The 26,143-nt window shown below is 47.9% G+C and overlaps 1 protein-coding gene across 27 annotated transcripts in view, besides 4 other annotated features; it reads left to right on the top strand.

Moving 5' to 3' along the window:
• Positions 526-805: a silencer, noted in NCBI's record as "silent region_13332". NCBI's record gives its function as "represses an Ori minimal core promoter by ATAC-STARR-seq in GM12878 lymphoblastoid cells {active_cell/tissue: GM12878}" and the evidence as "EXISTENCE:reporter gene assay evidence [ECO:0000049][PMID:35858748]".
• Positions 840-26,143, top strand: part of MX1 (MX dynamin like GTPase 1) — a 38,657-nt gene continuing 13,353 nt past the window's right edge. For 3 of the 27 annotated variants that reach the window (XM_017028352.2, NM_001438334.1, XM_047440776.1), the window contains exons 1-12: positions 6,521-6,679; positions 7,488-7,586; positions 8,037-8,148; positions 10,815-10,890; positions 12,332-12,457; positions 16,119-16,311; positions 17,297-17,434; positions 19,976-20,130; positions 21,169-21,307; positions 21,998-22,196; positions 24,070-24,148; positions 25,730-25,852. In XM_017028352.2, coding sequence (XP_016883841.1) covers positions 12,353-12,457; positions 16,119-16,311; positions 17,297-17,434; positions 19,976-20,130; positions 21,169-21,307; positions 21,998-22,196; positions 24,070-24,148; positions 25,730-25,852 — 1,131 coding nt within the window. In that variant the 5' untranslated portion in view covers positions 6,521-6,679; positions 7,488-7,586; positions 8,037-8,148; positions 10,815-10,890; positions 12,332-12,352. Of the gene's footprint in view, positions 1,158-2,119; positions 2,378-3,037; positions 3,194-6,520; positions 6,829-7,487; positions 7,587-8,036; positions 8,149-10,814; positions 10,891-12,312; positions 12,458-16,118; positions 16,312-17,296; positions 17,435-19,975; positions 20,131-21,168; positions 21,308-21,997; positions 22,197-24,069; positions 24,149-25,729; positions 25,853-26,143 lie in introns of those variants that run through there. The other 24 variants (XM_047440772.1, NM_001438335.1, XM_047440777.1 and 21 more) reach the window with 15 other exon arrangements.
• Positions 6,188-6,627: an enhancer, noted in NCBI's record as "active region_18477". NCBI's record gives its function as "activates an Ori minimal core promoter by ATAC-STARR-seq in GM12878 lymphoblastoid cells {active_cell/tissue: GM12878}" and the evidence as "EXISTENCE:reporter gene assay evidence [ECO:0000049][PMID:35858748]".
• Positions 12,552-12,611: an enhancer, noted in NCBI's record as "active region_18478". NCBI's record gives its function as "activates an Ori minimal core promoter by ATAC-STARR-seq in GM12878 lymphoblastoid cells {active_cell/tissue: GM12878}" and the evidence as "EXISTENCE:reporter gene assay evidence [ECO:0000049][PMID:35858748]".
• Positions 12,622-12,701: an enhancer, noted in NCBI's record as "active region_18479". NCBI's record gives its function as "activates an Ori minimal core promoter by ATAC-STARR-seq in GM12878 lymphoblastoid cells {active_cell/tissue: GM12878}" and the evidence as "EXISTENCE:reporter gene assay evidence [ECO:0000049][PMID:35858748]".

A 26,143-nucleotide genomic window follows, 5' to 3' on the forward strand; every position in this document is an offset into this window, starting at 1 on the left:
TTGCAGTAAGCCGAGATTGCCCCACTGCACTCCAGCCTGGATGACAAGAGTGAGACTCCATCTCAAAAAAAAAAAAAAAAAAAGATTTTAGGGGTAAAATATTTTGCTTTCCTTCAGTGGCTGGGCCACCTGTACACAATGCCTGAACCCAGGTCCTGCAGCCCCCAGCTTGGCTCTCCAAAGCTCACCAGTATCAAAGGATTTCAGCTTCTGCTCCTCTCCGCAGGGCTCTCTGGTGGGCCCCAGACAGAGATGAAGGAAAAGTCTGGCCTTGACCTTGAGGACCAAAAGCGACCACGTCAGACGCCAGCAGTCTCGTGCCCAGTTGCCAAGGGATCACCTGAGGAAGGCCCTTAAAATACAGGTGGTAATGCAGGGGTCTTGGGATGGCCCCGGACCGTTCATTTCTAATAATTTCCCAGGTGAAGCCAATGCTGCTGTTCCAGGAACCACCCTTTGAGAAGCACGGGTCTATACCACACGCACAGAAGAGGAAACGAAACGAGGCAAAGGAAACCAGTCCCTTTACTCGCGCCCAGGCAGGACAAAGCGGGCAAGGGTGGGGGCGGGGGCGCGGGCGCGGGCGCGGGCAGGCGGACGGACTTGCAGGAAATGCAGCCGGGAGGATGGGCAGGTTGTGGGATGCTCCGCCGTTCCGCGACCACCCGCCTCCCCGGCCCAGCAGAACCGGGTCCAGGCTGGGGGAGGTGCTAGCGGTGTATGTGAGTAACACTGCCCCCTCGTCGTGGCACCGCCCCCTTCTTCCCTGCCCCCTTCCCCGCCCCCTGGATTCTGAAGTCTGAAGTCATGCAATTTGACTTTTCCTTTCTGGAAACCAGCGAGCAGAAATGAAACCGAAACTGAATTGTCCGGGAAATTCGCGGTGGGGGCGGAGAGCGCAGGGAGAAGTAAGCCCAGTGCAGGATCCTGAGGCCCGTGTTTGCAGGACCAGGGCCGGCCTTCCGATTCCCCATTCATTCCAGAAGCACCGAACCACGCTGTGCCCGGATCCCAAGTGCAGCGGCACCCAGCGTGGGCCTGGGGTTGCCGGTTGACCCGGTCCTCAGCCTGGTAGCAGAGGCCAGGCCAGTGCCACAAGGTCAGGCTCCACTGGGCCCTGCCCGCCCAGGAGCCTGTGGTGTCAGGCACCTGAAGGGGTGGGTTGCCCCTCCACACCTGTGGGTGTTTCTCGTTAGGTGGAAGGAGAGACTTGGAAAAGAAAAAGACACAGAGACAAAGTATAGAGAAAGAAATAAGGGGACCCAGGGAACCAGCGTTCAGCATATGGAGGATCCCGCCAGCCTCTGAGTTCCCTTAGTATTTATTGATCATTTGTGGGTGTTTCTCCGAGAGGGGGATGTGTCAGGGTCACAAGACAATAGTGGGGAGAGAGTCAGCAGACAAACACGTGAACAAAGGTCTTTGCATCATAGACAGGGTAAAGAATCAAGTGCTGTGCTTTTAGATATGCATACACATAAACGTCTCAATGCTTTACAAAGCAGTATTGCTGCCTGCATGTCCCACCTCCAGCCTTAAAGTGGTTTTTCCCTATCTCAGTAGATGGAACGTACAATCGGGTTTTATACCGAGACATTCCATTGCCCAGGGACGGGCAGGAGACAGATGCCTTCCTCTTGTCTCAACTGCAAGAGGCATGCCTTCCTCTTATATTAATCCTCCTCAGCACAGACCCTTTATGGGTGTCGGACTGGGGGACGGTCAGGTCTTTCCCTTCCCACGAGGCCGTATTTCAGACTATCACATGGGGAGAAACCTTGGACAATACCTGGCTTTCCTAGGCAGAGGTCCCTGCGGCCTTCCGCAGTGTTTGTGTCCCTGGGTACTTGAGATTAGGGCGTGGTGATGACTCTTAAGGAGCATGCTGCCTTCAAGCATCTGTTTAACAAAGCACATCTTGCACCGCCCTTAATCCATTTAACCCTGAGTGGACACAGCACATGTTTCAGAGAGCATGGGGTTGGGGGTAAGGTTATAGATTAACAGCATCCCAAGGCAGAAGAATTTTTCTTAGTACAGAACAAAATGGAGTCTCCTATGTCTACTTCTTTCTACACAGACACAGTAACAATCTGATCTCTCTTGCTTTTCCCCACAGGCACCTAAGTCCACCTGGGCCTGGAGCAGGACAGGTTGCAAAAGAAAATATCTCGGGACCCCCAAACTCCTTATGCTAAGGGAAACATCGAGCCTGGGAACTGAGCCATCAACGCTGCCATTCTTTTTCCCAAACAGAACCCTGTTGTCAGAGGTACACCCAGAGCAACTCCACACCGGGTGCATGCCACAGCAACTCCATCTTAAATAGGAGCTGGTAAAACGAGGCTGATACCTACTGGGCTGCATTCCCAGACGGGTAAGGCATTCTAAGTCACAGGGTGAGATAGGAGGTCAGCACAAGGTCATAAAGGTCATAAAGACCTTGCTCATAAAACAGGTTGCAATAAAGAAGCTGGTTAAAACTCACCACAACCAAGATGGCCACGAGAGTGACCTGTGGTTGTCCTCATTTTTACACTCCCACCAGCGCATGACAGTTTACAAATGCCATGGCAATGTCAGGAAGTTACCCTACATGTATGTCTAAAACGGGGAGGCATGAATAATCCACCCCGTGTTTAGCATATCATCAAGAATAACCACAAAAATGGGCAACCAGCAGCCCTCAGGGTTGCTCTGTGGAGTAGCCATTCTCTTACTCCTTCACTTCAGGCAGGGGAGATGAATTTCCCTTTGAGCCTGTGGACAGAGGGCAGCCTGGCAGAGGGACAGGCATCAACAAAGCCTCTGAGTGTGACCTGGGTCCTGAGTTCAGGGATGGCAATGGGGTAACTGAGACTGGATCAGAAGTTGCCTGGAAGAAGAGAGGGCCATTATCAGAGTATAAGAGTGTGAAACTTATCTGGTAGGAAAAAAAAAAGAGTAACTGCTGTTCGTTTAATAGAGCACACATCCTCTGCAATTCAGGTGGGAGGTTGTGAGCTTCTTAAGTACAGAAGCTGCCTCTTGATTTCAGCATAGCGAGGAGGTGCTGAAGAGCGCAGGTTTGGAGAATGATCACCTGGATTGGAACCATAGCTCTACCAATATGGAACCCAGCTCCTTAGGCCTCGGTCTTCTCATGGAGAACATGGTGTGATAATCCTACTCCTCTGGGAGGGTGGCTGTTAAGGTGAGTGATTGCACACGAGTCCCTCTAGCTGATGTTACCGAGCGGTCCTTGTTTTTAGAGCTCCCAAGAGGGTGGCGGGCCACTTCCAAGATGGCGGCAAGCCTCTTGTTCTCTGACCTGGGGTTCTTGGCCTCACAGATTCCAAGGAATGGAATCTTGGGGCATGTGGTGAGTGTTCTCATTAGGACGAACCCAGGCACTTAGACATGCGGGAACAATGGCGAGCCTTTAGCCCGAATGGGAGCGGCAATGGGTGCCTCGCTGGATCAGGAGCACAGCGGACACACTGCCGGATCCAGAGGGGTGGACATCAGTGGTGGGTCTGTGATGGCGGCAAACAACAGCAGACAGCAAATGGCAGTGGTGGATGGCAAGCGAAAGCTCAGCTCCAGCCATAACAAACACGGACCAGAAGAGTGTGCAGTTGCAAGATTTAACAGAGTGAAAACAGACGTCCCATACAAAGGGAGGGAACCCAAAGGGGGTTGCCATTGCTGGGTCGAATGCCTGGGTTTCTGTCTCAATCACTGTCCCTCCCCCTGTGCTCTCAGGCAATAGATGATTGGCTATTTCTTTACTTCCTGTTTTTGCCTAATTAGTATTTTAGTGAGCTCTCTTTACTACCTGATTGGTCGGGTGTGAGCTAAGTTGCAAGCCCTGTGTTTAAAGGTGGATGTGGTCACCTTCCCAGCTAGGCTTAGGGATTCTTAGTCGGCCTGGGACATCCAGCTCGTCCCGTCTCTCACTGACACCTAACACATCCTACATGCTCAGTAGACAGGAGCTATTATTGTATGACTGACTGCTGAATTACACCCCAAAACAACCACCTATACTCCCCAAGGCCCTGCCATATCATATGCATATTAGAGGCAATGAAGCACCAAAATCTAAGGCCAGGGAAGGACTGCGGTGGACAAGGGAAGTGCCTAGGGCGTTAAAACTTAAGGAGGCATTGCACCAACTGGGAGTGAGCTGTGTGTGCTGTGTTTCCTGGGCAGGGCGCCTCACTGCCCTTCCGAGTCCTGCCCTGGCTGAGGTTGTGCCTCTATCTGGTTATCAGTTGCCTGCAGCTCTTTCTGATTTTGTTCGTGAACAAGGGCCCTTAGGGAAGCCTCCCGCTGTTGGAAACAGCAGCAGCATCACCCAGAGTGAAGTCTCTGTTCACATGAGTGCCAGCTCTGCTCACACCTACCCTGCGTTCCCAAGGCACTGTTCCTGCTTCAGAAAGCATCAGCCCAGCCTGCTCACAGTCCCCCAGGATGTGCTGTTGCCTGGGTTCTTGACTAGGAAGTAAAAGGCCCAGAGGGGTTGAGTGTGTGTGTGTGTGTGTGTGTGTGTGTGTGTGTGTTAAAGTGAGGTCATTGCTAATTCCTGGGAGAACTTGTGTTCCCCTTGGATGAACCCCTTGGATGAAGAACCCCTTGGATGGGGTTGCCCAGCCCTAGGAGTGGATCCTGCAAAGCAAAATAGATTTCAGCACAGGGAGCTGGCTGGGGGGCTCCTCCCCCTCTTGTAGGTGCAGCAGTATTGAATTTGATTCCATCCAGGTTTCCCCTGACCCCAGGACCTAAAGCTGGGGCAGGTTCTGGGCCTTGAGGTTGGTTGGGGGTGACCCTTCCTAATCATGGAAGTCTTTAGCGGGGGCTTGTAAGGGACTGTGAGCTGAGCTAAGGAGAATGGAGGTGGGGTGCCAACCGCTCCCAAAGGGAAATGCCATCTCCCACTCACAGCCAGTTAGCCGAGAATGGGAGCTCCCAAAGGGAGGACCACCCATGGGTCTGCTTGACTCAGCCCTCCCCAACCCCTTTCACCTTTGCAGTAAAACTCTAGCCAAGGAAGACAAAGAGACCTTTGGAGACCAAAACAGAACTTTTAATTCGGGCCAACAGCAGGCTCATGCCCAAAATGGCTGCCAACCCCAACAAAGAAAGCAGCTAGCTTATATGTCGTTTGAGATGGGAAAAACAAGGTAGGATACAGGTTTCAGACAAAGACAGTAAATTACTTAACCCGTGACAATTCTGAGGAAACTGGCAATTCAGTTATATTGACTAGTCATCCTCCAAGCTGGACTAGGGTTGGAGGCTGGGGTCCCGAGGCAGGTGATAAGCTTTTGAGATAAGCTTGCATCTGCAACTTGTTACAATGCTGGGAGGGGCTGCTTAAAATTTTAGCCTATGTGTTACTTCTAAATAGCTTATACTAAATGTTAACTGTTTTCATGTGCGTCCATGTGAAGAGACCACCAAACAGGCTTTGTGTGAGCAACATGGCTGTGTATTTCACCTGGGTGCAGGCGGGCTGAGTCCGAAAAGAGAGTCAGCGAAGGGAGATAGGGGTGGGGCCGTTTTATAGGATTTGGGAAGGTAATGGAAAATTACAGTCAAAGGGGGTTGTTCTCTGGTGGGCAGGGGTGAATCTCACAAAGTACATTCTCAAGGGTGGGGAGAATTACAAATAACCTTCTTAAGGGTGGGGAAGATTACAAAGTACATTGATCAGTTAGGGTGGGGCAGGAACAAATCACAATGGTGGAATGTCATCAGTTAAGGCTGTTTTTACTTCTTTTGTGGATCTTCAGTTACTTTAGGCCATCTGGATGTATACCTGCAAGTCACAGGGGATGCGATGGCCTGGCCTGGGATGCGATGGCCTGGCCTGACAACTATTACCTATGTTATGTTTATTATTTTAAGCTTTATTATTACTATTTTATTTATTTTATTTTATTTTCCTTCCACACACCCGTTTCCACCCTGGAGAGGCCAGATGAGCCAGACTCCAGGGAGGCCTAGAAGTGGGCAAGGGGAAACGGGAAAGGAGGAAGATGGTATGGGTGTGCCTGGTTAGGGGTGGGAGTGCTGGACGGAGTTCGGGACAAGAGGGGCTCTGCAGCCATTGGCACACAATGCCTGGGAGTCCCTGCTGGTGCTGGGATCATCCCAGTGAGCCCTGGGAGGGAACTGAAGACCCCCAATTACCAATGCATCTGTTTTCAAAACCGACGGGGGGAAGGACATGCCTAGGTTCAAGGATACGTGCAGGCTTGGATGACTCCGGGCCATTAGGGAGCCTCCGGAGCACCTTGATCCTCAGACGGGCCTGATGAAACGAGCATCTGATTCAGCAGGCCTGGGTTCGGGCCCGAGAACCTGCGTCTCCCGCGAGTTCCCGCGAGGCAAGTGCTGCAGGTGCGGGGCCAGGAGCTAGGTTTCGTTTCTGCGCCCGGAGCCGCCCTCAGCACAGGGTCTGTGAGTTTCATTTCTTCGCGGCGCGGGGCGGGGCTGGGCGCGGGGTGAAAGAGGCGAAGCGAGAGCGGAGGCCGCACTCCAGCACTGCGCAGGGACCGGTGAGTGTCGCTTCTGGGGGCAGCGCCCAGTAACCGCGCTAGGAGCGCGGAGAAGGGCATTGGGAGAGCGGCGTTCGTGGCGGAGACTAGCGCTCCGGAGCACGGGCACGACGGGGGCACCTTCTCGGCTGCTAGTAACTAACAATAATAATAATCATAATCATAGCAAGGGCGCTGATGGGCGGGCTCGGAGCACGCCTGATTCTGGTTCCCACCAGGCTGCCCAGGCTCCTGATGACGCATCAGAAACATCCCCCTAACCCGCGGCCTTCCTGCAGGAGAGGTTGGGAAGGGGTGGGGGACGGGGCTCGGGGGAGGTCTCCGAGGGACTCTAGTAAGCGGGGAAGGGCGCCGGGAAAGTTTCAGATCCACGGCTGCGCGGGCCACGAGCCCACCCGAACGCCGACCACTGCTTTCCGTCGACTTCTATTTCCTGGGAACGCGCGAAAGCAAACCCAAGTCAGACTGCGGAGGTCGCTGGGGAGGGAAGGTTCAAGGAGTTCTCGCCGATCCTGCTGAATAAAGGGGGTTCCGAGCTGGGCCGAGATGGGGCATGCGCGGGAAGACCCCTGCCCGCTGTTCCCCCCCACCGCCCCAGTGGATGCCATGCCTGGGGCCTCCCCGGCGCGTGGGGCTGACGCACCCTCGGGGTCCATCGTAGTTGGCCGGGATCGTGGAGTGGGTGCGGTGGACGAAGGGAGGCAGGACAGTCCCGGGGGTGGCAGAAGGAGCCCGGGCACAGCTGAGACCTGCGCTCCCATCCCACCAACACTCACAGCAGGTGCTGCCGAGCTGGGCAATTGGGATGGCCCAAGTTATTTGGTTAAATTTTAAATCACGTTTGTTACTGGGAAGTAGAGTCCAGTGATGCTAACCGCGCCTCTACCTCCACCACCGGTGTCAGTCCCAAAGGGCTCCTAAAATGGCTGTGTCATCTTTCAGCCTTGGACCGCAGTTGCCGGCCAGGAATCCCAGTGTCACGGTGGACACGCCTCCCTCGCGCCCTTGCCGCCCACCTGCTCACCCAGCTCAGGGGCTTTGGTAGGTAGCAGTGCATTTGGTCTAAAGGGCAAGATGTTCTCTCTTTTATTCATAACAAATTTAAATACCAGCAGGGTTTGGGGGGAAAAACGCTTTCAGAAGAAAAGGTGAATGTCAGTCCTGCAAGAGTTAGTTTTAAAACTAGACTGAATTGGCACATGTATACCTATGTAACAAACCTGCACGTTCTGCACATGTACCCCAGAACTTAAAAGCTTATAAAAAAAGAAAAAACTAGACTGGATTATGTTGGGAAAGTGTAGCCTCTTCCATCTTAGGCATTTCCTAGAACGTAGGCAGTAGGTGGTCCTTATTAGGAGTTTTGGGAGAGGAAGGGGGCTGAATCCTACCTCCCATCCCTGCTCCTCTATGGGGTCTGAGCTGAGGAAGCTTCACCACAAGGAGAGAACCCCCTGACAACCCTGGATGCCACCTTTACCCTCACTGCAGGAATTCTGTGGCCACACTGCGAGGAGATCGGTTCTGGGTCGGAGGCTACAGGAAGACTCCCACTCCCTGAAATCTGGAGTGAAGAACGCCGCCATCCAGCCACCATTCCAAGGTAAGGCAGAAATGAAGTGGGCCGTTGGGTTCTTTCTTTTCTTTCTTTCTTTTTTTTGAGACAAGGTCTCACTCTGTCGCCCAGGCTGGAGTGCAGTGGCGCCATCTCAGCTCACTGCAACCCCCGCCTCCCAGGTTCAAGCGATTCTGGTGCCTCAGTCTCCTGAGTAGCTGGGATTACAGGCACACATCACCACACCTGGCTAATTTGTATGTGTTTAGTAGAGACAGCATTTCACCATATTGGCCAGGCTGGTTTCAAACTCCTGGCCTCAAATGATCCACCCGCCTTGGCTTCCCAAAGTACTGGGATTACAGGCACGAGCCACTGCACCCAGTCAGGTTCATTTTAGTTGTTATGTTAACCAGGTTTCCTGCACCTGTGCGCTAACTTTCACTTTCCCAAAAGGTTTCAGGGTGACCCAGCAGGCAATGAGTGATTCTCAAATTCAGGATTTATTGTGAGAGATTCACACACACAATTGAGCAGACATTCACAGTACAATGATTAAAGGGAGTGATAGGGTAAGGACCCACAGTGGAGGCTCTGGAGGCCAGCCCACTGACAGCCACTCCAGGGAGTCCAGAAGTCCCGCTCTAGTGCTGGGTGGTGGAGGGAAATCTGTTCCTCCAGGGACCTCGTCCTCGGCTGCCCAGCTGCCAAAGTCAGGAATAAGCTTTCAGAAATCTCACTGCCAAGATTCCGAAAACGCTTCAGACATTGCTAGTCCCTTGTCGCTTTTGCGATCCTCCACAGGTGTGCGTGCCACTGGGTCCTTATTCACTGGGGTCTCTGGTGGCATTGGGCCACAGCAAGTGTTCCCTCATCCCCTTAGTCTACCACACACATGCTTACCACTTTGAAGAAAAACCCCTTTACTATGAGCGAAAGTGAGAAACACGTATGTTTATTGTTTCTAAAGAAAGAAACTTAATATGGGCTTAATGCTACCTAGTGAGTGCCTCCATTTTGAGACATTAGGGTCACAAGTCATTATTATATATCATGGGCACAAACCTGCCCTGGGCAGGGACGGAAGGAAGCCCCTGCACAGGGGCAGTTGCTCAGGATGTGAGAAGAGCCTGGTGCATAACCCCATCCATGCCCACCTAACATCTCAGGCTCTGACCAGTGGGGCTGTGCAGTAGCGAGTGGATGGAGGGCTGGAACCCTGCAGCCTCCTCTCCAAACACAGGGTGCAGCCAAGACATTTTAGGAGCAATTTGGGATGGAGAGCTAGGAGTCGCCACCTCTTGGCTCTTCCAAGGCCGGAACTGGTGCCTGCACTCAGTTCAGTTTGAAGACTGCAGCTGGATGCCAAGTTCCATGGAGGAGTAAGAAACCGGTTTGAACTCCCGAGATTGCCCTGCCCCTGAAATCCAAACTGATGTTCCGAATGATCAGGGAAAGGTACAAACGTTTATGGTTTACAGACAAAACCCATAAGGTTTAGCTTTCAGAGAATCTCATTTTATGAAGCAAATTAGGGAAGGGAATCTACTCACCAAGTCCTGTTTCAGCTGATTGAGTGGAACCTGTGGTCATGTGGTACAAGTCCTGGTCTCAATGATGCTCCTTATCTGGCTGCAGAAAGGCCAACTGAGGCAACCATAGCCCAGAAGACTGGTACTCCTGAGAGGCAGATGAAGTGGTGGTCTTTGATATCGAGCCTGGGATGCCCTGGGCACATGAGGTATTTCCAAAGGCATGGGAGTTTTAGGGAATAAATTCCCAGATTGTCAGACTCCATAAGTACCGTTTACAATGGATTACCTTTTATAACCATCCCAATCCTACCTGACAAAAGAGGTGGGCAGATTACGAGGTCAGGAAATTGAGACCATCCTGGCTAACACTGTGAGACCCCATCTCTACTAAATAAATACAAAAAATTAGCCGGGTCTGGTGGCGTGCACCTGTAGTCCCAGCTACTTGGGAGCCTGAGGCAGGATAATCGCTTGAACCCGGGAGGTGGAGGTTGCAGTGAGCCAAGATTGCGCCACTGCTCTCCAGCCTGGTGACAAAGCGAGACTGTCTCAAAAAAAAAAAAAAAAAGAAAGAAATACATCCCTTTCTTCCCTTCCAAATCGAGCAAGGATGCCTGCCCTGGAAGTGTATAAACCCGGGGAAGGGAGACAGAAAAGGATAGTTTTAAGTATTGGTGTTGGGGACGTGTTCTTTAGCCAAGGCAGCATGAACCCATGGCAGCACTTCCCAACCTTCCTGACATGGGCGTTTCTGTGAACTCCAGTGTGATGGAGAAATGGCATTGGCTCAGGTGTGCAGCTAGATATGTTACAGAGCAGGGTGACAGGCAGGGGTGATGAGTTTTGTTTTAACAACCTGTCCCTTCAACCCTCATGGTACTGACAAAGATCACATGGCTCTCGGGGGAGATTCCTGCGAGGGGAAGCAAGGAGAGCATCCTTACATATTATTGATCCAGGCAGCAGATTTGCAGCAAAGCTCTGTGCTTTATTCATCTGTTAAAATAGTTAAAATAGTCAAAACATAGGAAAAGGATTCTGGGAAGTCAGAATCGGCTTCAGAGCACACCCCTCCTGCACTTGCCCGGTTCTCAGACTTGGGAATGGGACTGGGTGGGTGGGTACTCTCGGGTGTTCCGCGGGTTTGGGTCTTACTTGTACACTTTGCTTGATTTCAAGGAGGTGCAGGAGAACAGCTCTGTGATACCATTTAACTTGTTGACATTACTTTTATTTGAAGGAACGTATATTAGAGGTAAGTTGGTGCATGCTATTTTCTGTAACATTTATTTTGAGTCATAGGAGAAAGATTTTCAGTTACTTTTATCCAAGATTATTAGACACTGTAAAATTTCATATTTAGGCACTTGTCCTACAACATTTTAAAAATGAATTTCAAATACATACGTGTGTATTTGTAATGCAGACAAGTATAAGGCAGTCAGTTACATGCTTTCAAGAGTAAAATGAATGACATTTCATTTCCCCCATTTGTGGGAGTAAAAGAATGACAATATGAAATTGATGATCAAAAGAAAGAGCATAAAAGATTTAGAGCTCACGTGTTTTTTAAACTAAAGGTTTGGGTATCAAATTACCGTAATATTTGGATTCTCTTGGCTACATTGGAAACAGTTCTATAACAATTTTATTTTTAAATGTAAAGTTTTTGTTTGTTGTTGTTTTTAAGACGGGGTCTCGCTCTGTCGCCCAGGCTGGAGTGCAGTGGTGCGATCTCGGCTCACTGCAACCTTCACCTCCCAGGTTCAAGTGATTCTCCTGCCTCAGCCTCCCAAGTAGCTGGGACTACAAACACACACCACCACTTCCAGCTAATTTTTGTATATTTAGTAGAGATGGGGTTTCACTATGTTGGCCAAGCTCGCTTCGAACTCCTGACCTCAGGTGATCCACTCACCTTGGTCTCCCAAAGTGCTGGGTGGGATACAGGCGTGAGCTACTGTGCCCAGCCTTTAAATGTAAACTTTTTAATTGTATTACAACTGCATCAGAAGTTGTATACTTTGCAACTATTCAAATTTATACTGAAAACGTTTTTGAAGTTCAACCTAAAATTATGACAGGAGATAGTTTTAGAAAATATTTTGGGGAACAGAGGCATATTCTATTTTTTTTTTTTGAGACAGAGTCTTGCTCTGTTGCCCAGACTGGGGTGCAGTGGCGTGATCTCAGCTGACTGCATCCTCTGCCTGCCAGGTTCAAGCAATTCTTTGCCTCAGCCTCCTGAGTAGTTGGGATTACAGGTGCCCGCCACCATGCCTGGCTAATTTTTTTGTATTTTTAGTAGAGACAAGTTTTACCATCTTGGCCAGGGTGGTATTGAACTCCTGACCTCATGATCTACCTGCCTCAGCCTCCCAAAGTGCTGAGATTACAGGCGTGAGCCCCGGGGCCCGGCCTGGAGGGATATTCTTGAAGCGCCTTGAGCAGGGAGGCAGCGTTTGTCTTTATCTGACCTTGGCTTCTTTGGGTCACTCTGTTTCTCTTTCCGTGAATAAAAAGCCAGTGAGCACACACTGTGTCCCAGGCACTCTTCTACGCTCTGGGGACATCACCATGAACAACTAGTCAGAGTCCCCACCTCCAGGGGCCTTCCGTTCTGGTGGTGGGTTTGGTTCCATGGTTGAATGCACCCAGCTGCTTATCTGTTCAATAGGCATCTGCTTTATTTTAAGCTTACTTTGCAAAGAAGGAAGATGGTTGTTTCCGAAGTGGACATCGCAAAAGCTGATCCAGCTGCTGCATCCCACCCTCTATTACTGAATGGAGATGCTACTGTGGCCCAGAAAAATCCAGGCTCGGTAAGTTGCTCTCTGAAAGTCGCTATCCATGTGACATGAGCCATGCCCATTCGAGGCTGCCCTTTTCTACAGCGGTGCTACTGCTGCCCAGATATGCCTGCTCTCTCGCCTCTCCTGTGCCAGGACGCAGATCCTGACCCTCTACTTGCCAGCTGACAACCATGTATAGACTCGTTGCCTTAGCTCACCGTGGGTGGAGGTGCTGCTGGGGTTGGGGACACTGGCTGAGCTGTCGATGGGTTCAGCTCATCTATACTAGAAGGAACTGGCCCAGGCCCTGGGTTCAAGGAGCACTAGGTTTGTTTTTCCTGCCCACATCATGATTCAGTCTCAAGCTACAAACCCTGGGGCATCATTAAGATATTATCTTTGTAGGGAAGCCACGTGGTGAATTTTTTGCCCAGAATCAAGACATATTTTTGGTGGGAACCAATCATGGCCCCTGGAATCAGTCCAACCTCAGTTGGTCCCGACGCTGACACTCTCAGCTGTGTGATTGTGGGTAGTTATTCCTCCTGTTATAAGCCTGGTTTTCCATATCTAAAATGAGAATAATGGTCTTTGCTTTATATGGCTGAGAGCAAAGTGCAGGGAGTGTCCAGGTACTCAGAGTGCTCAGTTTCTTATTACCGTGGATCACTGGTCTGTTTCAGGCTGGCTCTGTTTTCCTAGGCAATGTTAAACAATTTTTCAAACAATATTCAAAAAACATTGAAGCGTTTAGAAAAATACAGAGGACCACCACCTTTCCACCACCCTGATACCACCGTTTACATTTTTCTGCATTTCCGTCCCTGGTGCGTCTCTTGTCTGGCTGTAAGAGATGTAATTATGTCAGGGTATGGGGCAGGAGGAACTCTCACCCACTCATACTTGCGTGCTTTGGAAGCAGCTTGGCCTTTTCCAGTCAAGGAGAACAGAGTGTGTCTCGTGATCTGGCAGTTCCACTTCTGGGGATAGACTGTGGTTCTCAAAGTGTGGCCCCCAGCCCAGCCCATTAGCATCACCTGGGAAGTTGACTGAAATGCAAATGACCAGCCCCTCCTCCCACTCTTAGACCTGGTGAATTGGACACTCTGGGGCAGGGCCCACCCCCTGTGCTTTACCAGGCTCTCCAGGTGATTCTGCTGTGTGCTGGAGTTTGAGGACCATGTGTAAACCCTTGCACATCCCCCTGGGAGCCACATGCATAGCAGCACTGTTTATAACAGCAAAACTCAGACCCTGTCTACGTGCCTGTCATGGTGGAATGGATACTGGGAGTGTGGTATGTTCATGTAGCAGAATTCTATACAGTAGTAAAGAGGAATGAACTAGAGTTCCAGGTATCAAAATGGCTGCATCAAATGAACAACGTTGAACCAAAGAATCAAGTTACAGGAAATATACAAAATGATTCCACTTACGTAAAATTCCCCAACAGGCAGCAATAGGCAATATACCATTGTGGGAAAAACATATAGGTGGCAAAACTATAAAGAAAAGCAAGGATGTGATGATTGCAAGCCTCAGGATAGAGGGACCCTCTGGAGGTGAAGGAGTTGACCCAGGGAGGTGTGTGCAATGTCCTAAGTACTGGGAGTGTTTGTGTTCTTAACCCAAGTGGTTGGTACATGCATATTTGCTTTATTATGTTTGACACACTTTTGTAAATAGATAGTATAAATAAATGAAAACAAACAAAAAGTTATAAGGTGAACTAAGACCGAGGCTACCAACTGTATTCATGCATTTGGTAAGGCTGTGGTTCTTTCTCAGTCAGGGCCCATTTTGCTCCCTGGAACTTGTGGCCAGGTCTAGAGACATCTTGGTTGTCACAACTCAGGGTGAATAGTGAATAGAGGCCAGGTATTTGGCTAAACCTCCTACAATGTGTAGGGTAGCCCCTGCAACAAACAATCTTCTAACCCCAAATATGAATAGCTTCTTGTCCTGTTATAAAGAAGCTATTCTAGTAAAAACGTCTGTCTATGATGAAGCATGCACAAAAATAGTCATTAGAAAGAGGTAAAAGACAAAATGATTTTCTCATATTTTCTTCCTGAACCTCAATCAGCCCACTTTAGGAAAATTGCACCCAGCTGCTGGTAGGTAGGCAGGACCGAGTGTGAAGTCTGCTGCTTTCTCTGTTTTTATGCAAGTACTTCACTATTTTGATTACTTTAGTTTTATAGTAATTATGGAAATTAGGTAATGCTAGTCCTCTGACTTTGTTCTTCTTTTTCAAAGTCATTTTGACTAAGAATATTTAGATCATTTCTATTTAATGTGACTGGTAATATAATTAGATTTGAGAATATCATCTTGCTATTTGTTTTCTATTTGTCCCGTCTGTTCTTCGTTCCCCCTTTCGTCTTTTTCTGCCTTCTCTTGGATTATTTTTTATGATTCCATCATGTCTCCTTTGTTGTCTTATTAAGTATAACTCTTGGTGTTTTTAGTATATATCTTTAACTTAATAAGTCAACCTTCAAGTGATAGTCTGTCACTTCATGTATAGTGCGAGAACCTTAGAATAGTGTATTTCCATCTCTCTGCTCTGAGCCTTCATACTATTTCTATCATGCATCTTTTACATACATCATAAACCCCACAATACATTGTTATTATTGATGTTCAAACATTCAATTATCTTTTAAATAAAGATAGCAAAGGAATACAAAAAAGTGTAGTAGTTACCCCTTCTAGTATAGACTCCTTTGTATAGATCCAGATTTCCATTCAGTATCATTTTCCTTCTACCTAAAGAACTTCTTTAACATTTCCTGTAGTGCAGGTCTGCTGGTAATGAATTAGTTAAGCTTTTGAATGGCTAAAAAAGTCTTTGTTTTGCCTTCATTTTTAAAAGTTATTTTTGCTGGGTATAGAATTCTAGATTGATGGTGTTTTTCAGTACTTTAAAAATACTGCTTCACTGTCTTCTCGCTTGTTATTGCTTCTGATAAGATTGACAGCAGATTTCTCATTTGTGTCCCTCTGCTCACACTGTATCATTCTCTGGCTGCTCCTAACATTTTCTCTTTATTACTGGTTTTGAGCAATTTGACCCTCTTATGGCTTGATGATGTTTATGTTTGCTGTGCTTAATGTCTGTTGAGTTTCTGGGATCTTTGGGTTTATGGTTTTCATTAAGTTTGAGGGAATTGTATGTATTATTTCTTCAAATATTTTTTTCTGTCTCTCTTCCATTCTCTTTTGGGGATTCCAGTAACCTGTGTATTAGACTTATTGAAGTTGGCCGTCTTTAATGGAGTGTATTGGTTCATTCTCACACTGCTATAAAGAACTGCCTGAAACTAGGTAATTTATAAAGAAAAGAGGTTTAATTGACTCACAGTCCACATGGCTGGGGAGGCCTCAGGAAACTTACAATCATGGAGGAAGGCATCTCTTCACAAGGTGGCAGGAGAGAGAATGACTGAAGGAGGAACTTGCCAAACACTTATAAAACCATCAGACCTCATGAAAACTCACTATCATGAGAACAGCATGGGGGAAACCTCCCCCACAATCCAATTACCTCCACCTGGTCTCTCCCTTGACACGTAGGGATTATGGGGATTACAATTCGAGATGAGATTTGGGTAGGGACACAGAACCAAACCATATCATGAGCATGATTTGCAGGCCATGAAGAATTCTCCATTTTTGTTTCCTCCAGGTGGCTGAGAACAACCTGTGCAGCCAGTATGAGGAGAAGGTGCGCCCCTGCATCGACCTCATTGACTCCCTGCGGGCTCTAGGTGTGGAGCAGGACCTGGCCCTGCCAGCCATCGCCGTCATCGGGGACCAGAGCTCGGGCAAGAGCTCCGTGTTGGAGGCACTGTCAGGAGTTGCCCTTCCCAGAGGCAGCGGTAAGAACTTACATTCTGTGTTAGTCTGCTCAGGCTGCCATAACAAAATACCACAGACAGGGTGGCTTATACAACAAAAGTTTATTTTCTCACAGTTCTGGAGACTGGAAGTCCAAAATCAGGGTTTAGCTTCTCCTGAGGCCTTTCTCCATGGCTTGCAGATGGCCACCTCCTCACCGCTCCCCCATGCGGCCTTCCTTCCACACACAAGCATCTCTGCTGTCTCTTCCCCTTCTTCATAAGGGCACCAGTCATATTGGATTGGGGCCTACCCTAATGACCTCATTTAACCTTAATTGCCTCTTTAAAGGCCTTATCTTCAAATACAGTCCCATTAGGGGTTAGGGCTTCAACATAGGAATTTGGAGGGAACACCATTTCATAACGCTATCTCATTGCACATTTTTTTCACATAAGTCATATGTAATCTACAGTTTGAGGAGAATCTGAATAAACACATTTGGGTCCCCCAGTTCAGAACTATATCAGTGAGGTCTCAAAGAGTTCAGGCCTGGGACGGGTCTTGCAATACAGATCAGGTGTGGTAGGAAGAATATGGAAGGAGTTTACAGTAGGAGGACTGTTGTAAGGTGGCCTGGTAGCAGCAGGATGCTTTCCTAATGGGGGTAGAGTGTGTATGCTGGGGGGATAATGGAAGATGTTCGGATGAGTTTCGGGGGATTCCCAATGTGGTCTGCCACCTGAGCTGATGGCAGAACACTGGGATGAGGCAGGAAGCCAAAAGTGGTGGCTTTCAAGCGTTAGTAAGCAAAAACTCACCTGGGTTACATACTCAGAATGCATGTTCTTGAGGTCACCCAGACACAGTGCGATGTCCCCGCATATCAGAGGGTAAGACCAGAAAGTTTCCAGTTTTAAATGTCTCCCCATATGATTGTATAAAAGTTTGAGAACCATGGGCCTAAGGCGCTATGTAGGTCTTTTAAGAGCAAAGTGGAGCACTGATGTGGGCGTGGCCTCCTAGGGATCGTGACCAGATGCCCGCTGGTGCTGAAACTGAAGAAACTTGTGAACGAAGATAAGTGGAGAGGCAAGGTCAGTTACCAGGACTACGAGATTGAGATTTCGGATGCTTCAGAGGTAGAAAAGGAAATTAATAAAGGTGAGTACCCCCTGTTTGGATGCCTGGTCAAGCCTTCTGACATGCATGGGGTCTGTTTGTAACTGTTCATACTCCCACCTCCCTGGGCCTGTGCTGTCAGGACACCTTTCTCCTGCACATCAGGCCACGGTTCCTTCTACTTCTTTTACCTCATTATGACCAGCACGCTTGGATATCAGCATCTGATAGCAATCATTTATTTCTGGCCAGGCACAGTGGCTTGTGCCTGTAATCCCAGCTCTTTGGGAGGCTGACACGGGGGGATTGCTTGAGCCTAGGAGTTCAAGACCAGCCAGGGCAACATAGTGAGACCCCGTCTCTTAAAAAAAAAAAATTAAAATAGCTGGGCAGGGTGGCATGCACCTGTGGTCCCAGCTATTCAGGAGGCTGAGGTGGGAGAGTTGCTTGAGCCTGGGAAGTCAAGGCTGCAGTGAGCCGTGATCTTGCTACGGCACTCTAGCCTGACAACAGAGTGAGACCCTGTCTCAAAAACACATGTATTGCTTATTATGTAAGTATCTAGAATAATGTGAATTTTAAAATGTCCCCACATATGGATGATCTGTCCCTTATTCAAGGGCTTCCCTACTTAGATCTGGCAGGAAGAGGAGCCAGATATGGGGGTGAGGGAGCTCCTCCCCCTGTTCCTTTGTACAAGGAACTCCACATTGTGGACAGGATCGTCACTGAACCCCACTCAGAACCAGCACCCTTTTCTAAGAAAGAGGAGTGACTGTGTTTGCATAATCCCAGCTTAGGCTAATTCATGGCAGGCCTCCATAAATGCAAACCACAAGGATCAATTTGAAGTGTCTGCAAGGGGAAATGACACCAGCAGTGTAGACAGGGTAGAGTAGCTGACAAAGAACAGCCTCTGTGAGATGCATGGATAACATCTTCCTATCGACCTTCATGTTTTTCTGGCATGTCACATGTTTAAGTTTCATTCACACTGGGAAGGTACTGAAGAGACATGAACTAATGCCCAGCAGTAGGAAGGGACGGGTTTAGCATTTGTAAAGATGGAGCATTAATCACATTTGTTGACTGTTTAAAGAAAGATAAATAATGTTATTGACAAACCGTGATTTTGAATTAGTTGGGATTAGGTTGGCTGCTTGCAGCAGAAAACTCAAAATAACTGTGTGCCTTAGCCCTTGCTGTATAACAAACCCATCTTAAAACTAATGGCTTGACCACTTTTATTTCTCATGATTTGATGGACCAGCTGGGCAGTTCTTCTCTGGGCTAGCTGGGCTGGGGCTGATGGTCCAGGATGGCCCTTGGCTGGAGTGACCGGGCCTTCTGTCTGTGTGGTCTCTCACCCTCCAGAAGGCTAAGCTGGACTTATCAATGTGGGTGGAGGGGTTCCCAGCAGCAAGAGAGGGCAAGACCCGACATCTAACACCTTTCGGTCTCTCCTGACGTGGCACTGTGTAACATCCCCTTAGCCAGAGAAAGTCACGTGGCCAAGCCCAATTTCAAGGGACCGATTTTCTCTCTCTCCATGGAAGTGACGAAGGCACCCTGTAAAGTAGCGTGCATACAGGGATGGAAGGGAATGTGGATGCCATTGTGCCAGCAAGTTGCTGAGACAGCGGTCTAAACAATGTAGAGGCTTTCTGTCCCTCTCATATAAGTCTGAAGGCGGGCAGACCAGAGCTGATTGGGGATTCCAATGTCAGGAACCAAGATTTATTCTTCTCCCATTTCTTCATTGGGTGTGGCCTCTGTTTCCAAGGCCCCCCCGTGACTTAGTCAGCAAGTCCGCTTTGAAGCCAGCTGGACCATGGCAAGGGGCATATCTCTGCCTTTGTAAGCACACTTTCTGGAAGTTGCACATAACATTTTCACATGGCCCATTGGCCAGAACCCGATCTCATGACCACATGGCAGGTACATGGATATTGGGGGAACAATTAGTGGACCATAACCACTGATATTTCCTAAGTTCTAAATTGATATCAAACATCCCAAAAAGGCATTCTAGATTTAGAAAAGAGTAAAGTGGTGTTAGCCAACAATTTGATGAAACAAATTCATATCCTAAAATTCATTAAGGAGGAAGGAGCAAAATAAAATCTCTTAATGGGATGTTAACAGCCAGTGCTTATCTTAGCTAAAATAAGCACATTTCCCCATATAATTTTCCAGTTTATATTTTAGGCATTTCCATATATTTTTATTTGTTTTTATTTTGCTTGGTTGCTAATTTCCTACTGACATCAATGAGAAGGATTTAGGAATGCTACCAGGAAGAACTTCTTGCCTCCGCCCAGCTTTGGACTGGTCTAAGTGGGTGTCACTCATGGTGACGTTCTCACAAGGTCTCTCTACACACAGTGCTGGCCAACAGCAGGGAAAATACTGAGTTATCCTTTGAGATCTCTTTTATCCCAATCACAGAAAATTGAATCTGCTCCAAATATGCTTTTATCCATGACTCGCAGAGAGGAGAAGATGCTTTCAGAGTATTCACCATCATGAGATCCGTTTATCCTAAGCTCTGTTTGGGTTTGATTTTCCCTGTCTCTTTTCTAGCCCAGAATGCCATCGCCGGGGAAGGAATGGGAATCAGTCATGAGCTAATCACCCTGGAGATCAGCTCCCGAGATGTCCCGGATCTGACTCTAATAGACCTTCCTGGCATAACCAGAGTGGCTGTGGGCAATCAGCCTGCTGACATTGGGTATAAGGTCAGACTTCAGACCCATTCTGACCTTGGCCGTGGCGTGGGGATGGGGGAGTGGAGGGGTGGGAGGAGAAAGAGGGTACTGTATTAGAGTAACCGTGAGTCCAGAGCTGAGTTTTGGAGTTAGTATTTGGAGGTGTGAGTGGGGAATTTAGAGAGCCCGTTGGTCACAGTCTGTTCTGTCAAGTTGAATGGAAGCTTCTTTGGAGAAAGTGAGGCCAGTGGGCACAGTTGGAAATGTGTTCTGTGTATTTGTTTTATGTTTTATGCAATGACTTGTTTTTGGTTATATACATTTTGCAGCATATCTAAAGTGCTGTGTATTAGGAAGGGGTCTTATGTGGGAAGAGAGCATTAAAAATAAGTATAATGGGCCACACACAGTGGCTCAGTCCTATAATCCCAGCACTTTGGGAGGCTGAGGCAGGAGGATTCCTTGAGCCCAAGAGTTTGACAGAAACCTGAGCAACATAGTGAGACCCCCTTCTCTATAAAAGAAAGGTTAAAAAATTAGCCAGGTATGGTGGCGTGCACCTGTCAGCTACTAGGAGGATTGCTTGAACCAGGGAGGCTGTGATGAGCCGTGATTGTGCCACTGCACTCCAGCCTGGGCAACAGAGCAAGAATCTGTCTCAAAACAAAAAACAAAACAAAACAAGCAAGAAAGAAATAGGTATAATGATATTTTAGTATCAGTGAATCTCACTTTACAGATTAAAGATTTAGGGGTGAAGTGGGGTTTTTTGGCCACCATTTTTCATTGTGACCATCAGATCTGAGGTCTTAGGGGTTAATTATCTGAAACTTCATGGTTTTCCCTGAGCCTATAGCTCTGCTTCTGCCACAGATAATTTATTTTCTCATAATTCCAGCTTGGTACCTCCAGGGTTGTGTTTGTGGGTTCATTTCTCCAAAGTTACTTCTTTTGGGGGAAATACCCCTGGGACTCTTAGGGCCTAAAGCAAGTGCAAGGTCAGGACTTGTCTCACCTCTCACTTGCCTTTGCCATACTCACGAGTCACCTCCTCTCATTTCCTTACAGATCAAGACACTCATCAAGAAGTACATCCAGAGGCAGGAGACAATCAGCCTGGTGGTGGTCCCCAGTAATGTGGACATCGCCACCACAGAGGCTCTCAGCATGGCCCAGGAGGTGGACCCCGAGGGAGACAGGACCATCGGTGAGAGTGGGGGAGCCCCACTGTGCTCAGTGAGAATGGGGGAGCCCGCCTGTGCTCGGTGAGAATGGGGGAGCCCACCTGTGCTCGGTGAGAATGGGGGAGCCCGCCTGTGCTCGGTGAGAATGGGGGAGCCCGCCTGTGCTCGGTGGTCTGCCAGTGGGCAAGCGTCCCTCCAGTCTCCATGGGCTTTGCTCAGTGGGGACCTGCCTCCACTAAGACCTGCTAAGGGAGCAGGTTTGGTGCCCACCAAGGCCAAGTGAAATGAGCTGCTTTTGACTCTCACTGGCTAGGTTGCCTTGTAAGCCTTATCTACTTGCTCAGAAAGGCACAGTGGGCTCGGAAGCAGGTCAAACTCAGGAGGCACATGGTACTCATTAAGAATGCATTTGAGATGGGATGTCCATAACTCAAGGGATAAACAAAACGTGGCGTGTTCTACAGTGGACCCGGGTGAAGGAGCTTGGGGAGAGCCACATGCTGTTCTGGGAGGCATCCCTGCCTTCACGCGGCTTGTCGTGGAGTTCTTTTCTGGAGCGGGGCTCCACTGCCCCCATGGTTCTGCAGGGGCTATGGCCTGTCCTCAAGCAAGGATGGGAGGAAACCCTGGGAGGCCGGGGGCGTGAGCAGTTGTTCGTTCACCTCTGCCTCGTGACTGAGCACGTTCTCTCCCCAAATACATCTGGCTCGCAGGAATCTTGACGAAGCCTGATCTGGTGGACAAAGGAACTGAAGACAAGGTTGTGGACGTGGTGCGGAACCTCGTGTTCCACCTGAAGAAGGGTTACATGATTGTCAAGTGCCGGGGCCAGCAGGAGATCCAGGACCAGCTGAGCCTGTCCGAAGCCCTGCAGAGAGAGAAGATCTTCTTTGAGAACCACCCATATTTCAGGTGCGCTTGCCTGGGTTTCATCATGGATCAGTCCAAGCCCAGGATGTCAGGCCTTCCAGGGGACAGTGGCAGCCGTCCCACAGATGTGTGGAGTGTGTGTGTGTGTGTGTGCGTGTGTGTGTGTGCGCGTGTGTGTGTGACTATGCTTGTTCCCCAACAAGGACTATGGAATTCACCTAGAAGAATAGGAAGGGGATTACAAAATACTGCCAAGAAAAAAAAAACTAAAAACCAATCAAAATAGGGAGAGAACAATGTACAATAATTTACGTAGCATGGTGCTGGAACCATATTTTATAAAAACATAAATAGAAGAGAATAGGAAAAAAGTAGAAAGCCCAGAAATAGACCTAGATATATATATTTGACACATGATAAATGCAGCATTTCAAATCAAATAGTGGACTATATCAGCTTGAGTATCTATTAGTGGTGTTAGGATAATTAATATTTGGGAAAAAACTAAAATACTGCCCTTACTTATCTCATTATACCAAAATAGTTAAAGTTTAAAGTTAAATATTAAGAGGAAGCAATAAGCATCTCAGAAGAAAGGTAGGTGAATAGTTTATAAGATTTTTCTATCCCTCCTACCAAAAGTGACATTTTTTAAAAGGAAAAGACTGACAAATTGGTAAGATTTAAAATGATGAGACTATGTAGAGTTGTAAACATTCTTACATTCAGTTCTCCCAGAAGCCTACAGAGAGCCATTACTCAGAATTCCAGGAATATCAAATGGAAACTTACATCCTGTTCTGCACATTCACAATTGCCAGAAGATGAGATGATTCAGTGTCCATTGATGGATGGATGCAGAAAGCAATGTGGTCTGTACAAAAACATGGAATACTTTCAGCCTTAGAAAGGAAAGACATTCTGACACATGCTACAACATGGATGAAGCTTGGGAACATTCTACTAAGTGAAAGAACCCAGTCGTAAGAGGACGGATACTGTCTGATTCCACTTAGCTGAGGTCCCTGGAGTAGTCAGATTCATAGAGACAGAAAGAATGATGGGCACCAGGGGCTGGGAGAGAGAGAATGGGCAGGTAGTGTTTAATGGGGCCATTGTTTCAGTTTGGGAATATGAAAAGTTCTGAAGACAGACAGTGGTGATGGTTGCATAATAGTGTGAATGTACTTAATGCCACTCAAGTGTACTCTTAAAGATGGTTAAATGGTCAATTTTATATGTAGTTTACCACAATTTAGAAAAATTGACAGAGAAACTGAAGCTTAGGTATGAGTATACTCACAAAAAGGCACAGAAACTCATGCTTCACTGCTGCCTTTATCCTAAAATGTCCTATAAAATGTGGGAAACCCTGTAATAACTCACTCTGTGAGCACAAATTTGGATCGAGTGAGAAGATACTTGACTTCCTTCCTCCAGGCAGCCCATGGTTTAAGTTTTTATCTTGGACAAGATATCTTGTGTCTCTTCTCCTCAGTGTTCTGCTACCCATTTATCTCAATATGCTTCAATGTATTTGTATGAAGATATGTCTGTATCCATTATGATCACCTACACATATTACACATAGAAGGGGGTATGTGTTATAAAAACATATCTATACATGTCTGTGTATTTTTGTGATGACCAAGTCTATAGTCAGACACCATGATACACATTTATTATATCAGCTGGAAGAGCTCATTCCATATCATTGTGGAAATATCCTAGATTGCTAAAATTCAGTCATAATCCTATTCAATCCAGTTCTGAGTATTTGTTGGGTACCAACTGCAAGACATTCCATCCAGTTGTAAGCAACTGAAATTTGCCTTGACTTTCCCCAACAGCAAAAAGGCAGACATGCGTGTTCTGGCTACATCAAGGTGGAAATCGGTCCTGTGTTCTCTTCTAGGGATCTGCTGGAGGAAGGAAAGGCCACGGTTCCCTGCCTGGCAGAAAAACTTACCAGCGAGCTCATCACACATATCTGTGTAAGCACGGGCAGAGCTGTGGGTTCTCTAAAAAGAATACTACGACCGCAGAGCTGAACCTTGCTGGCTTCTTAAACATCACTGTACACACAGATCTTCTGAGGATCTTGTTAAGATGCAGTTTCAGATTCTGTGGGTCTGGAGTGGGGCCTAGAATTCTGCATTTCCAGCAAGCCCCCAGACAATGTGGATATTCCTTTTCAGGGGACCACAGTCAGGGGGAATGCTGATAGACTATATCTACTGGGCCAAAATAAAAATTAAAATCTTATGCACAAGCTACTAACTCTTCCTTTCTCATTGACAACCACTATTATAATGTCTTAGTCATTCTAATGAACATATTTTTTAACTTCTAAAAGCTTTGTAAAAGCTCTCTGTGGTTCTTTTTAAAAGTCTGCCTGAATATAGTGTCTTCCTTTTTCAAATTTTCTTTTCTTTTCTTTTCTTTCTTTTTTTTTTTTTTTTTTTTTTTTTTGAGACAGAGTCTCACTCTGTTGCCCAGGCTGGAGTGCAGTGGTGTGATCTCAGCTCACTGCAACCTCTGCCTCCTGGGTTCAAGCAATTCTCCTACCTCAGCCTCCTGAGTAGCTGGGATTACAGGTGCCCACCACCATGCCTGGCTAATTTTTGTATTTTTAGTAGAGACAGGGTTTCACCATGTTGACCAGACTGGCCTTTTTCAAATTTTCAACTCAGCACCAGAGTGCAAGGTCTTCCACGTGGTCCCCAGGAATGCGGGTGCATAACAGGGTTGTTTCCAGCCGACCATGATGAGTGCAGAGCTCTCTGGGGTCCCACTGTATGCAGAAAGAGGATGCTTCCTTATTAGATTCCCCACCTCGAGCAAGCCCATGGGGATTGATTTTTTGCCTCTGCACCAAGTCAGGTTCATAAGTTCCCGTTCGAATTTTCTTACCTAGACAGATGCCCTTGTGGCTGAGCCGGGCTTCATTGCTGCCTTCTCCTTGAGCCCCTGCCTGGCCACTGTTACTGGGGCTGGCCTCTGACTACCCCTCACTAACTTGTGAGTCCACCGATACATTTAAAGGTGCAGCTTTCACATGTCAGCTGGCATTTTTAGATGTTTGCCGTGGAAGGGTGAGCCAGCATATGGCGTCAACCGTATTGTTAAAAACATAAGTCTCTGATCACTTTTTATTGATTGCAAGCAACATAAAAGTTGTTGAATCTCAAATTGCTCCAAATGCCACTTTTTCAGAACCTACTAGACAAGTGGATCTCTCCAGTCTCCCTCCAGAGAGTTTACCTAATATGACCACAGAGGAACTGCTCCCGGGTCACTCTGCCGGGGCCTAGGACCCATGCACAGTGGGTGCCACAGTGCTGCTCATGAGGCTGCTGTCGCAGGAGTGGGGAAGGGGGAAGACCTGGGCAGAAAACAGTGCCCCCAGTGTGTGCCCCCCTGCACCTCCCCCGGGTCTGGAAAAGCTTCCTTTTAGAGGAAGCCAGGAAGTCAAATGGCCCACACAACTCCTCTGCAGAGGGAGGCCCGGGACCTCCTTTTCATTCTCTGTTCATCTTTACACATTTCCATTATTTTCTCTCCATTTTCCTCAGAAATCTCTGCCCCTGTTAGAAAATCAAATCAAGGAGACTCACCAGAGAATAACAGAGGAGCTACAAAAGTATGGTGTCGACATACCGGAAGACGAAAATGAAAAAATGTTCTTCCTGATAGATGTGAGTGTTGCCAGCTGCATGGAGCTGGAGAAGCACATGTCATGGTCAAAAAAGGGACCCTGGGCCTTATGCACTTCCTTCTTCACTCCCCCAAGGCTGATCCAAAGACATCTGGCCCGTAGCACTCAAAGGGTGGACAGGGCTGAGGGAGGCAGGGCAGGGAGTGCAGATGTGGGGGTGGAGTCAGCAGCGAGGGATGCTCAGGCTGCGTTGTGCCTACTCTGTCACGAGCATCACCCAGATCCCTAAGGCAGTAAGGGGTGGGATAGGATTTTCTAGTGCCAAAACCTC

Source organism: Homo sapiens, chromosome 21 (genome assembly GCF_000001405.40).
Source record: "Homo sapiens chromosome 21, GRCh38.p14 Primary Assembly".
Taxonomy (NCBI): domain Eukaryota; kingdom Metazoa; phylum Chordata; class Mammalia; order Primates; family Hominidae; genus Homo; species Homo sapiens.